Raw genomic sequence first — 13502 nt, 5'->3', positions numbered from 1 at the left:
GTTGATAGTACAATGGACTCTTGCAAACCTTCCATCTAGATTCAACAATTGTTCATAATTTGCCCTATTTGCTCTGACAACATATATACACAGATCGATTTTTTTTTACTGACCCTTTGAAAGTAAGAGGTAGACATAAGGACATTTTTCACTTAAATACTTCAGCCAGAGTGCATCTCCTAATAATAACGACATTCTCCTACAAAACTATTGTCACACCTAAAAAATTAATAGTTTCTCTAATATCTTCTAACACTCAGGCCATATTCAAATTTCACAGATTGTCCCAGGACTGTCCTTGATAGTTGTTTTTTTCTTCTGAACGAAGATTCAATCAAGGTTGACATTTGGTCACTGGGTCTCTTTCATCTCTTGTATCTAGAATACACAACACCCCCTTTTTTCTGAGGCTACTGGCTTCCTGAGGAGCCAGGCCAGATGTCCTGCAGAAGGAGGGACCATGTTTGTGTCACCCCTATATCCTCAGTGCGTGTTGGGGGCCCCAGAGACCAGGCCTGGGCTGATGAGCTGGGAGGCCAGCCCCTTTGGGGAGGAGCTTCCCACTGAGCTCGGCTCAGCCTGCCTCCAGTTCCCCATGCCCCACTCAGATGCCTGCCTGACGACTCCTTCCTACCCACGAAGACTTCACGCCCAGGGCGACATGGGTTGATGGTCCACATACTCATTCCTTGGGAGGTTTAATCTGTTTTATTGAATTTTCAGATTCTCAAATCAATACCCATAATAATGCCCAGCAGAAATAAAATCTCGCTCCAGGTATTTTGCCAGATGGTTGATATTTACACATAGCAGGTTTCCCTTCACGGCTTCAGATAGCTTAATAAGTCTCGCCACAGGCAGTATATCCCAGCAGTTGGCCAGTGCACGGGCCAGGAAGGGGCCACTGCCTTCCAGGGGTCTCACTCCCCAGCCTCCGTGCTCAGAAACGCTTTCTGCAGGCCCTGGTGCACATCATTAGACCTCTCCACAGCCTCCTCATTTGTAAAATGAAGGACGTAAGAAGAATAGGAGATCTCTGCATTAGACGGGACCTTTACTGTGCCAGTCTGGCCCCAGTCCCCTAGAAGCAAGCAGCCTGGGCACAGTAGGAGCGTGAACCAGGGAGACGGCTGGGTGGAGGGGGCAGGGGCTGCTGTCAGATTCCCTCAGTAGGAGAAGCTGCTGGTTAGCTGGGGGCCTCGAGGCAGAACAGCTGTGCTGGGGATATGCAGAGGGTGCAAGCAGACTGGGCTAGGCTGGAGCGCCTCAGGGCAGGGGAATTCCCCGCAGAAGAGCTGGCAGGAGGCCGCTAGGCTTCTGAAGCACTGCCTTTGTGGAGTTCCAGGCCCTTTGAGGGCGGCCGCTTGTTCTGAGAGCCTTACGCTCCTCCTTACGAGGCCCCCTTAGTGCCTGGCTGGTTGGAAGGACGAGGCGCCTCTGAACCCACCCAAACAGGACGGCCTGAAAGGCTGCTGTGGGGTTGAGGCGAGGCGATGCCCGTGCAGGGCCAGCCACGAGGCTGGGGAACACTCGGGCGGAAGGCTCCAGTCCCTCCCGCGCCTCCCCGCCTCAGGGGCTGCTGCGGGCGTGAGCAGCAAATCCCACTCACCCGGAAGGGCTGGACTGCAGCCGCCAGGCCAATGGGGCGTCTGGCTGTCGTGTGGCCTCCTATCGCCTGGTTGCGGCCCTCATTGAGGGCTGACTGTTCTTCCTGCTGCCTCCGCCCCCTCATTCAGCAGCCCTGAGGGACCACAGCGTTCTGCTGGGTATGGCGGGAACAGAGCCAGACGCCGAGCACCTCCCAAGATGCCCGTCATGGGCCCGGAGCTGGACAGTGAGGACCCTCAAGGAGCCCAGCAGGACTCGAAGGCACACAGGCGGCTGGGCCTTACGCACCCCGTTGTGGAGACGGAGGAGGTGGTCAGGCATCTTGGGGAGGTAGGAGGTGAGCTGGGTCTTAAATAGCGGAGGAGGCCACGAGCTGAACTGACAGCCCAGGCGTCCTGAGAATGGTTTGTGCTGGGGAGCAGGAGTCTCAGAAAGCTGATGCTTCTAGAAGACCAGGAAGGGCCCCTGCTTTCATCTTACCCCCTGGGCAGAAGACGCTGAAAGGTCATTTGAGGCCAGCTCAGGACCGCGGGCAGGTGGCGAGAGGGGTCCACTCTCAGGGCAGGCAGTACGCAGGTGCAGGAGCTATGGCAAATTTAAAAGTAGTAATAAGGCTGGGCGCGGTGGCTCACCCTGTAATCCCAACACCTTGGGAGGCCAAGGCGGGTGGATCACCTGAGGTTAGGAGTTCGAGGCCAGCCTGGCCAACATGGTGAAACCTCGTCTCTACTAAAAATACAAAAAAATTAGCCAGGCGTGGTGGCGCGTGTCTGTAATCCCAGCTACTCAGGAAGCTGAGGCATGAGAATTGCTCTGAGGCACGAGAATCGCTCGATCGCTTGAACCCGGGAGGCGGAGGTTGCAGTGAACCAAGATCATGCCACTGCACTCCAGCCTGGGCGACAGAGTGAGACTCTGTCTCAATTTAAAAATAAATAAATAAAAGTAGTAATAAAACAGACTAATAATTGGTCTGCTTTTATTGATAACCTGCATCAGCCATTCTAAACTATGTCAATAGTAAGATTTTCCTCTGAGAAGAAAATCTTTTGTTGGTTTAAGTTGTAAATAATTGCTATGGTTGAATTTTAATAATGCATATGTGTAAGCTTCAAATGAGCACACTTTTATTAATTACCCTTTAATAAACATTGGGTTCTACATAGAAGACAATTTGAGGGCTCCAAGTTATACAATTGGCCTCTGTCACTCACTGGCCCAGCTACACCCATTGCAAGCCATGTTCAGATGTCCTGGAATCACTGGACTTCCTTTCAGGCACAATTTGTGTTTCCAGCTGCCGCTGCAATACGCTGCTCAGACACGGTGGCTGCAAAGACTGACGCAGAACTTGAGGCGTCAATTAGTGTTCAAAACTGAGAACAGTGAAGCAGCGCAAACTGCTGGCTGTAATGTTTTTGTCTGGTAAGCACAGGTTTTAGCTCATACATGAACTATTTGGCAGAATTTGAATAATGTCTTTAAAATCCGAATGTATATTTTTATGTTAGTTGGCTATTTTAAAACTCATTAAGTCAATAAAATAAAACACTACCTCATTGTGTGATTTAGTACGTGCCTACATTGTACACTTTGCAGATGTTTTGGTTTTGTTAAAATTAACTTATTAGTTATGAGACAATTCATTATACAAGTTAGTATTACCTCAACCTGGAACTAAAGGATTAAAGTTCAAACTGTTGGGTAGCTATAAAAAGTATTGAATAAATAGTTGAGTTTTTTCCTTTTGGGTACTGTAATTTTTGTTTTCTTTTCCTTTCTTTTTACTTTTTAAAAAATTGTCTTTACCTGAATGATCATATGTATAAATATTATATTATATATAAACATATAGTTAATATTAATATATTATATTAGTATATTATTATATAACATACCAAATAATATATAAATATTATATACTATGATTATATATAATCATAATTGAACATTATATGTTTTTCACTAGGGGTGTTTCTTTTCTGGCTGTTAATATTTTTCCATACTGAAAGTGATTTTTTTTTTTTTTGAGACAGGCTCAATTCCCCAGGCTGGAGTGCAGTGGTTTGATCTTGGCTCACTGTAGCCTCAACTTCCTAGGTTCAAACGATCCTCCCACCTCAGCCTCCTGAGTAGCTAGGACCCTAGGCACACACCACTACATCCGACTACTTTTTAAATTATTTGTAGAGACAAGGCCTCCCTATGTTGCCCAGGCTGGTCTTGAACTCCCGGGCTCAAGTGATTCACCTGCCTCAGCTTCCCAAAGTGCTGGGATTACAGGCGTGAGCCAGTGTTCCTGGCCTGAAAGTGACTGTGTTGTTTAGGGGAGAGTGTGTTATAAATGACCTGCCGTTCTCTCAATTCTCTCAGCACTTCTTTGCCAATCAGGCTGTGCTCACCATGGGAACTTGGGCAAGCCAAGGGACTTTTCTGGGCCTCAGTTGATCTGTGTGAGCACTCACAAGGCTGCTGGAAGCCCCTAGGTGATCAGTCTCCAAACTCCAGTTGGCCGAGTGTAACAAACAGGAACCCAGGCCTTGGCAGGAGAGCTGTGGTGTGGGGCTTGGGTTTTGACGTAAGGCAGGTCTGGTTTCTTCACTCTCTAACCAGGTGACCTTGGGCAAATATTTATCCTTTCTGAGCCTCAGTTTTCTCAGCTGTAGGAGGAGATCGTAATAACTTTCTTTGAAGTTTGTGGGGAGGGTTAAATAGAATAACACATGCCAAGAGCCCAACCCAGCCCAGCCCCAGGCCCGCGGCTGGTGTGCAGTCAAGAGAAGTCGGTTTCTGTACGTCACACACTTTGTGGGGAGAAGCAGCCCCTTGAGGAGTGATGGGAGACTTTGAGGGACTGGAGGAGTAGCAGAGAGGAAGAGAATCTGGTTCCCTGAGAGAAGGAGAAGCCAGGGCAGCTGAAGAACACAGTCCAGCCACTTCCACATGCTGGCCCTCCCTGCCTTCCCAAACCCACCTCCGCTCTCCCCACTGTGCTCCGGGCCCCAGCGACCCTGCAGGGAGCACAGCCCAGACCTGGCTGCCCAGTGGAATCACGTGGGATCTTTCAAATCACTCAGATTCCCAGGCTAGAGAATCTGCTTCCACAGGTGTGAGCTGGGAACTGAAAGTCAGGCTTTTTCTATTGAGGTAAAATTCACGTAACATAAAAATAACAATTTTAAACTATTTTAAAAATAACTATTTTTATGTTGTTTCACAGAACGTGAAAATAGTGCACATTTAGTACATGTACAATGTTGTGCAGCCATCACTTTTGACTAGTTCCAAAATATTTCCGTCTCCTAAAAAAAAACCATACCCATTAAGCAGTCACTCTGTCTCTCCTTCCCCTAGTCCCAGGCAGCCACTAATTTGCTTTCTATCTCTGTGGATTTGCCAGTTCTGAATATTTCACATAAATGGAGCCATACAGTGTGACTTTTTGTGTCTGGCTTCTTTCGCTGAACATAATGATTTCAAAGTTCATCCTTGTAGCATATATTGATGCTTCAGTCCTTTTTATGGTGAGATACTATTCTATTGTATGGGTATGCCAACTTTCTTTACACATTCATCTGTAGACAAAAATCTCGGTTGCTTCCACCTTTTGGCTATTGTGAATAATGCTGCTGCGAACATTCACGTAGAAGCGTTTCTTTGAATACCTGTCTTCAGTTGTTTTGTCTATTTGCCTAATATTGGAATTGCTGGGCCACTTGGTCACACTCTGTTCCACTTTTTGAGGAACGGCCAAACTGTTTTCCACAGCAAATTCCCCATTTTACATTCCCACTAGCAGTGTACAAGGATTTCACTTTTTCTATGTCCTTGCCAACACTTGTTATTGGCCGCCTTTTTTATTCTAGTTGTCCTAGTGGGCATGAAGTGGTATCTCATTGTGGTTTTGATTTATGTTTCCCTAATGACTAATGACTTTGAACATCTTTTCATGTGCTTGTTGACTATTTGTATATCTTCTTTGGGTAAATATCTATTCAAGTTATTTACCCATTTAAAAAATTGGGCTGTGGCCAGGCACAGTGACTCAAGCTTGTAATCTTAGCACTTTGGGAGGCCAAGGCAGGCAGATCCCTCAAGCTCAGGAGTTCAAGAACAGCAAGGGCAACATGGCAAAACCCTGTTTCTACTAAAAATACAAAAATTAGCTGTGTGTGGTGGCACACACCTGTAGTCCCAGCTACATGGGAGCCTAAGGCAGGAGAATTGCTCGAGCCTGGGAGGTCGAGGTTGCAGTGAACCAAGATCACACCATTGTACTCCAGCCTGGGCGGCTGAGCCAGACCCTGTCAAAAAAAAAAAAAAAAAAAAAAAAAAAAGCAAAAACAAAAAACAAAATGAAACAAAACAAAAAAAACAAATTGAGTTGCTTGTCTTTTTGTTGTTCAGTTGTAAGAGTTCTTCATGTATTCTGGATAATAGAATATTATCAGATATATGATTTGCAGATATTTCCCATTCTGTAGGTTGTCTTTTCACTTTTTTAATGGTATCCCTTGAAGCACAAACTTTTTAAATTTTGATAACGCTTAATTTATTTTTTTCTTTGGTTGTGTATGCTTTAGGTGTCATATCTAAGGGTCCAGTGGCAAATCCAAGGTTATGAAGATTCACCGCTATGTTTTCTTCTAAGAGTTTTATAGTTTTTGCTCTTCCATTCAGGTCTTTGATTGATTCATTAGTATTAAGTTTTGTGTATGGTGTGAAGTAGAGGTCCAACTTGATTGTTTTATGTATGTTGAAGACTCTATTCTTTCCCCATCTGATGCTCTTGGCACCCTTGTTGAAAATTTGTTTATTTCTGGACCTTACTTCTATCCCATTGATCTATATGCTTATTTTTATTACAGTACTACACTGTTTTGATGACTGTAGCTTTGTAATACGTTTTGAATCAGAAAATATGAGTCCTCCACCTTGTTTTTCTTTTTCAAGATTGTTTTAGCTATTTGAGGGTGCCTTGCAATTTCATATGAGTGATAGGATTAGCTTTTCTATTTTTCCCCACTTGTACCTCTGATTTTAGTAATTTGAGTATTCTCTCCTTTTCTCTTGGTCAGTCTAACTAAATTTTTTTTTCAATTTTGTTGATATTTTCAAAGGACCAACTTTTAGTTTCCTTCATATTTTCCATAGTTTTACTATTTTCTATTTCATTTGTCTCTAATCTTTATTATTTTTTCCTTCTGGTACCTCAGAGTTTAGTTTATCTTCTTTCTATGTTTCCTTAAGCTAATAAAATTAGGTTATTGATTTAGGGTCTTAAAAATATATATGTATATACTATATATATAAATTTTTCATATATATAGAATATATACATTTACAGCTATAGATTTCCCTCTTATCACTGCTTTCACTGCATCTGATAGGTTTTGGTGTGTTGTTTAATTATCATTCATCTCATTTTCTGATTTAACTTGTAATTTCTTCTTTAACTCACTTGTTGTTTAAGAGTGTGTCGTTTAATTTCCAGGTACTTGTGAAGTTTCCATTTCTCTTTCCTTTACTGATTTCTAGTTTCATTCCACTATAGTCAACAAAGATTCTTTGTATGATTTTAATCTTTTTAACTTTACTGGAGAATGTTCCATATGCACTTGAGAAGAATGTATATTCTGTTGCTGTTGGATGGAGTGTTCTACATATGCTTGTTGGGTCTAATTGGTTTATAGTGTTGTTCAGGTTCTCTATTTCCTCATTAATCTTCTGTCTAGCTGTTCTACCCATTACTGAAAGTGCAGCATTGAAGTCTCCAACTATTTTTGTAGAACTGCCTGTTTCTCCACTCAATTTTGTTGATTTTTGCTTCATATATTTTGGGGCTCTGTTATTAGATGCATATATATTTATAATTGTTTTATATTCATAATGGATTGACTATTTTATCAATATATAATCTCTTTCTTTGTCTCATAATAGTTTTTATCTTAAAGTCTATTTTGTCTGATATAAGTATAGCCACCCTTGCTCTCTTTTGGTTACTATTTTTATGTAATACCTTTCCCCATCCTTTCATTTTCAACCTATAAGTGTCTTTAGATTTAAAGTGAGTTTCTTGTGGAGAGCATATAGTTGTATCATTTTAAAAATCTGTTTTGCCAAAGTTTGCTTTTCATTGGAAATTTTAAATTCATTTACATGTAAATAATTACTACTAAGAAAATACTTATGTCTGCAATTTTGCTATTTGTTTTTTGGGTGTATTAAACTTTTTGTTTCTCAATTCTTCCACTACTACCTTCTTTTGTGACTAATTTTTAGTGTACTATATATATGTGTATGTGTGTATATATATATATACACGTGTATATATATATACACACATGTATATATGTATATATACACACACACATATATATACACACATATATATATATGTTTGTTTTGTTTTTTTTTTTTCTTGTTTTTTTGAGCTAGAGTCTCAGTCTGTTGCCCAGGCTGGAGTATAGTGGTGCAGTCATAGCCCACTGCAACCTCAAACTCCTGAGCTAAAGAGATCCTCCTGTCTCAGCCTCCTGAGTAGCTAGGACAACAGGCACACACCACCATGCCTGGTTAATTTAAAAAAATATATATATATATTTGTAAAGATGGGGTCTTGCTACATTGACCAGGCTGGTCTTGAACTCCTGGCTTCAACAAATCCTCCTGCCTCAACCTCTGTTTTTGAGTCTTATTCCTAGTAGTTACCCTGGAGATTACAATTACCATCTTAACTTTATAACAATCCAGTTTGAATTAATACCATTTTTTTTTTTGAGACAGAATTTCTCTCTTGTTGCCCAAACTGGAGTGCAATGGCGCAATCTTGGCTCACCGCAACCTCTGCTTCCCAGCTTCAAGCAATTCTCCTGCCTCAGCCTCCTGGGTATTTGTGATTACAGGCATGCACCATCATGCCTGGCTAATTTTGTTTTTTTAGTAGAGATGAGGTTTCTCCATTTTGGTCAGCCTGGTCTTGAACTCCCGACCTCAGGTGATCTGCCTGCCTTGGCCTCCCAAAGTGCTGGGATTACAAGTGTGAGCCACTGCGCCTGCCCTAATACCAACTTTAAATTTTGATAGTACATAAAACTGATCTTTCACAGCTCTGTCTCCCCACCCCATGTTGTTATTTTCACAAATTTTTATACATTGTGTGCCCATTAACATAAATTTATAATTATTGACTTATGCATTTGTCTTCTAAATCATATGGAACAAAAGAGAAGCTACAAACCAAAATTGCAATACTATTAACTTCTATATTTACCTATGTAACTAGCTACCTTTACTGGTATCATTTATTTCTTCATGTGGCTTTGGGTTACTGTCTGGTGTCATTTCAACCTGAAGGACACCCTTTAGCATTTCTTCTAGGGAAGATCTGCTAGTGACAAATTCCCTCAGTTTTTGTTTATGTGGGAATATTTTAATTTCTCCTTTATGCTCTCAGAATATTTTCTGGATACAGAATTATTGGTTTTCTTTTTTCCCCCTCTCAGTACTTTAAATATATAATCTTCTGGCCTTCATGATTTCTGATGAGAAAATTGCTATTAATCTTATTGAGAATCTCTTGTCTGTGATGAGTCTCTTCTCTCTTGTTTCAAGATGTTTTGTCTTTCTCTTATGTCAGCTTGCTATAGTGCATCTCAATGTGGATCTCTTTGAGTTTATTTTGCTTGGTGTTTGTTGAGCTACATGTTGGATGTGTAGATTTATGTCTTTCACCAAATTTGGGAAGTTTTCAGTCATTATTTCTTCTAATATTATTCCTGTCTCTTTTTTCTCCTTTTGGAACTCCCATTATGATATGTTTGTAAGACTGGTGGTATCCTACAGGTCTCCTAGACTGTCTCTGTTTATTTTTCTTCATTCTTTTTTCTTTCTGATCTTCAACCTAAATAATCTCAATTGACTTAACTTCAAGTTCACTGATTCTATCATTTGCCTGTTCAAATCTGCTGTTGGCCCCATCTAGCAGAATTTTTCATTTCATTTGTACTTTTCAGCACCCAAATTTCTATTTTTTTTAGAATAAGTGCTTTATTTTTTTAAATCTCACAAAAACTGAAACTATCATTTACATCAGTTGTAATAGCAAGAAAAATTAGAAATAAATTTTCTATACTCTTGAAAACATTTATAAAAACAAAACAAAATTAAACAAAAAGGAAAAACTATTCATTTTAAATTAAAGATAATCTGACTCCTTATGACATACCCACTTGCAGATGTATAAATAGCAGATGCATTCAAAACAGTGCAAGATTTAATTAATTTAGGACAATATTCCAACCAATCCCAATGCAGATTTTAAATTACGTGTGCACGTTTACATAGAATCGTAAAAATAAACCTCTAATATGTGATCAGCTTATGCCAACTCAGAAAACTCAACACTAATACGACAACTGTGGAAATCACAAGATATGACTGGGGGGAGAAAAGCAAACCCTAGCATCAAAAGTCAGCACCCAAATTTCTACTTGATTCCTTTTATAATTTCTATCTCTTTAACAATATTCTTTATCTGGTGAAGCATCGCTCTCCTGCTTTCTTTTAGTTCTGTCTCCATGGTTTCTTTTAGCTTTTTGAGTATACTCATTTAAAATCTTTTTCTAGTAAGTCTAATGCCTGGGCCTCTCATGGACAGTTTCTATACATTTATTTTTTCCTATAAATGTACCATACTTTCTTGTACTTTCAATGCCTTATAGGTTTTTTGAAAACTGGACATTTTGAATATTATAATAGGTTAATTCTGGAAACCAGATTCCTCCCCATTCTCAGAATTAGTTGTTTCAGCTTGTTGTGGGTTGTTGTGTGCTTGTTTAGTATATTTTTTAAACTATTTTTGTAAAGTCTGAATTCCTTGTCATGTGTGGCCACTGATACTTGTGTTCCATTACCTTAGTGATTAACCAATGTTTTCATAGCATTTCTTTAAATGCCTGAAGCCAAGAAAAAGCATAAAGTATAGTAATAGTTGTAGAGAAGATCCACCAATGGATACTAAAGTTTGAAGAAAAAGAGGGTTTGTATAAACTCAAAGTATATCTCCAAATATAATAATTACAAAGGGAAAGATATTAACTTTACAGTGGAAAAACCTGGCAGACGCCAGCATAACCAAATGATCAAGGTTAACGTGACCAGTAATAAGACATGTCAATATCATGAATCTCTTGATATGACACACTGAGAGAGGGACACGTAATTTCTGCTGTGTCATTTTGCCAAAAATGCATAATTTAATTCCAATCATGAGAAAACATCAGACATGCCCAAATAGAGGGACACCGTTCAAAAGTGTCAAGGTCATGTAAGACAAGGAGAGACTAAGGGACTGACAGATTAGAGGAAACAAAGGAGAAATCACAAATGCAATTTGGGATCTTGGATGAGATCCTGAAAGAACAAAAAGACATAGGAGGAAAACTAGTGAATTCAAGTAGGATCTGCTGTTTAGTTAAAAGCATTGTACTGGTATTAATTTTTTGGTCTTGATCATTGTATTATGGTTATTTGAGTTGTCACAAGTAGGGGTGAAGAGAATAATCTGTGCTATTTTTGCAACTTTTCTGTAAGTCTAAAATTGGTTCAATGGAAAAAGTTAAACACAAAGGTTATTTTAGTTAGCGGGAGTGAAGGGGTTGAGGGTTGCTGGAGAGGAAACCAGCGGTACAGGTGGGGCTGGATCCACAGGCAAGGAGTGTGGGTCTGCTTTGAGGGTGAAGACGCACCACAGGAGGGCGCCACATCTGGCAATGATGCCACCTGATCAGTGTCTTAGGAGGTCGCTCTGTGGAGAATGGGATGTAGAGAGGAAAAGAAAAGGCAAGGAGACTAGTGAGAAGGCTGCTGGGGTTGTCTTGACCTAGAGACAAAGAGAGGCAATCAGATTTTGTATATATTTTTGGGATATAGGTGACAGAACTCAGTGGTGGATTGGTTGTAGAACGGGACTGAAAGAGAATAGTAAAGGATGGTGTATTAATCTGTTTTCTCCAGAAAAACAGGACAGTAGTGTACAGTAGTCTCCCTTTATCCATGGTTTCACTTTCTGCAGTTTCAGTCATTCATGGTCAATCACGATCTGAATACATTAAATGAAATATCCCAGAAGCAAACAATTTGTACATTTTAAATTGCATATTTCTCTACATAGTGTGATGAAATCTTGCACGGTCTGCTCCATCATCCCCAGGACATGAATGATCCCTTTGTCTAGCACCTCCATGCTGTGTGTGCTGCTCTCCTGCTGGGTCCCTTAGTAGCCATCTCAGTTCTCCCATTGACGGTTGGGGCATTGCAGTGCTTGTGTTCAGGTCACCCTTATTTTGCTTAATAATGGCCCCAAAGCACAAGAGTACTGTGCCTAATTTATAAATTGAACTTTATCATTGGTATGTATATGTGTATGGTATGTATGGAAAAAACATAGCATATGTAGGGTTCGATAGATCTGCAGTTTCAGGTACCCACTCGGGGTCTTGGAATGCATCCTCTGCAAATAAGGGGCACTACTATGTATGTATGTATATGAGAGAGAGAGAGGTTGATTATAAGGAACTGGCTCATGGGATTATGGAGGTGGAGAAGTCCTAAGATCTGCACTTGGCAAGCTAGAGACCTGAGAGAGCCAATGGTGTCATTCCAATCTGAGTCTGAAGGTCTGAGAACCAGGAGAGCTGATGGTGCAAGTTCCAGTCCGAATCCAAATCCAAAAGCAGGAGAGGACTGATGTCCCAGCTTGCAGACAGTCAGGTAGAGAATGAGAATTCTTTCCTACTCCATCTTTTTGTTCTATTCAGGCCTTCAATGGCTTGGATGACCTCCACCCACATTGGAGAGGGCTATCTGCTTTATTCAGTTAATCAAATGCCTCACCCAGAAACCAACTCTCACAGACACACCCAGAATAATGTTTAACCAACTATATGGACACCTCACGTCCTAGTCAAGTTGACACTTAAGATATTCACCCCAACTGGCTCTTGGGTTCTTGCCTTAGTCAAACGCCAAATGGTGGTACCATTTACTAAGATGAGGGAGACTGGAGAAGGTGGTTTGGGGATGAATATTAAATTGGAGGTGCTGATGAGACCTTCAAGGGAGTGTCAAACAGGCAGTTGAATATAAGAGCCTAAAGGTCACGGGGGAGGTATGCATTTGAGAGTGATCAGCACATAGTGGTATTAAAGCCTTGGGATAGCATGGGCACACCCAGGGAGAGAATGTGGAGGATCTGCTGAGGACAGAGCCTGGGAGCCTCCACCACTCAGAGGGCAATGGGATGAGGGAGGGCCAGCAACAGGACCACAAAAGAAGTGGCCTTGAGCCAGCCCATTCACCCATTCTCAGTCTCAACACTGCCTGAGATGGGGGATCTACTAGCTGTAAATCTACTTACCTCGGCAGTCATTGATATGGTTTGGATCTGTGTCCCTGCCCAAATCTCATGTGGAATTGTAATCTCCAGTGCTGGAGGAGGGGCCTGGTGGGAGGCGATAAAATCATGGGGGTGGATTTCCCCTTTGCTGTTCTCCTGATAGTGAGATCTGGTTAAGAGTGTGTAGCACCTCTCCCTTCGCTGTCTTCCTCCTGCTCCAGCCATGTATTATGTGCCTGCCTCCCCTTCTGCCATATTTGTAAGTTTCCTGAGGCCTCCCCAGCCATGCTTCCTGTACAGCCTGCAGAACCATGAGCCAATGAGACCTCTTTTCTTATAAATTACCCAGCCTCAGGTAGTTCTTTGTAGCAATGCGAGAACGGACAAATACAGTCATCTAACCTTAGTTCTCTGCCTTGCTCAGTCCACACCAGTCCAATACACATATCTAAGACCCTCCTATGTGTCAGTGCCTCAGTGCCTACCTAACAAAGAC

The 13502-nt window shown here is 41.4% G+C and overlaps 2 annotated features.

Annotated features, from left to right (window-relative positions):
• Window positions 700–1319: an enhancer, noted in NCBI's record as "H3K4me1 hESC enhancer chr2:121776785-121777404 (GRCh37/hg19 assembly coordinates)". NCBI's record gives its function as "activates a minimal SCP1, AML or CMV promoter by ChIP-STARR-seq in naive H9 embryonic stem cells {active_cell/tissue: H9 hESC(naive)}" and the evidence as "EXISTENCE:reporter gene assay evidence [ECO:0000049][PMID:30033119]".
• Window positions 1320–1939: an enhancer, noted in NCBI's record as "H3K4me1 hESC enhancer chr2:121776165-121776784 (GRCh37/hg19 assembly coordinates)". NCBI's record gives its function as "activates a minimal SCP1, AML or CMV promoter by ChIP-STARR-seq in naive H9 embryonic stem cells {active_cell/tissue: H9 hESC(naive)}" and the evidence as "EXISTENCE:reporter gene assay evidence [ECO:0000049][PMID:30033119]".

Source organism: Homo sapiens, chromosome 2, assembly GCF_000001405.40.
Source record: "Homo sapiens chromosome 2, GRCh38.p14 Primary Assembly".
NCBI classification, from domain to species: Eukaryota; Metazoa; Chordata; class Mammalia; order Primates; family Hominidae; genus Homo; species Homo sapiens.
The sequence above is the reverse complement of the archived record's forward strand: the minus strand, read 5'-3'. Positions and strand labels throughout refer to the sequence as shown.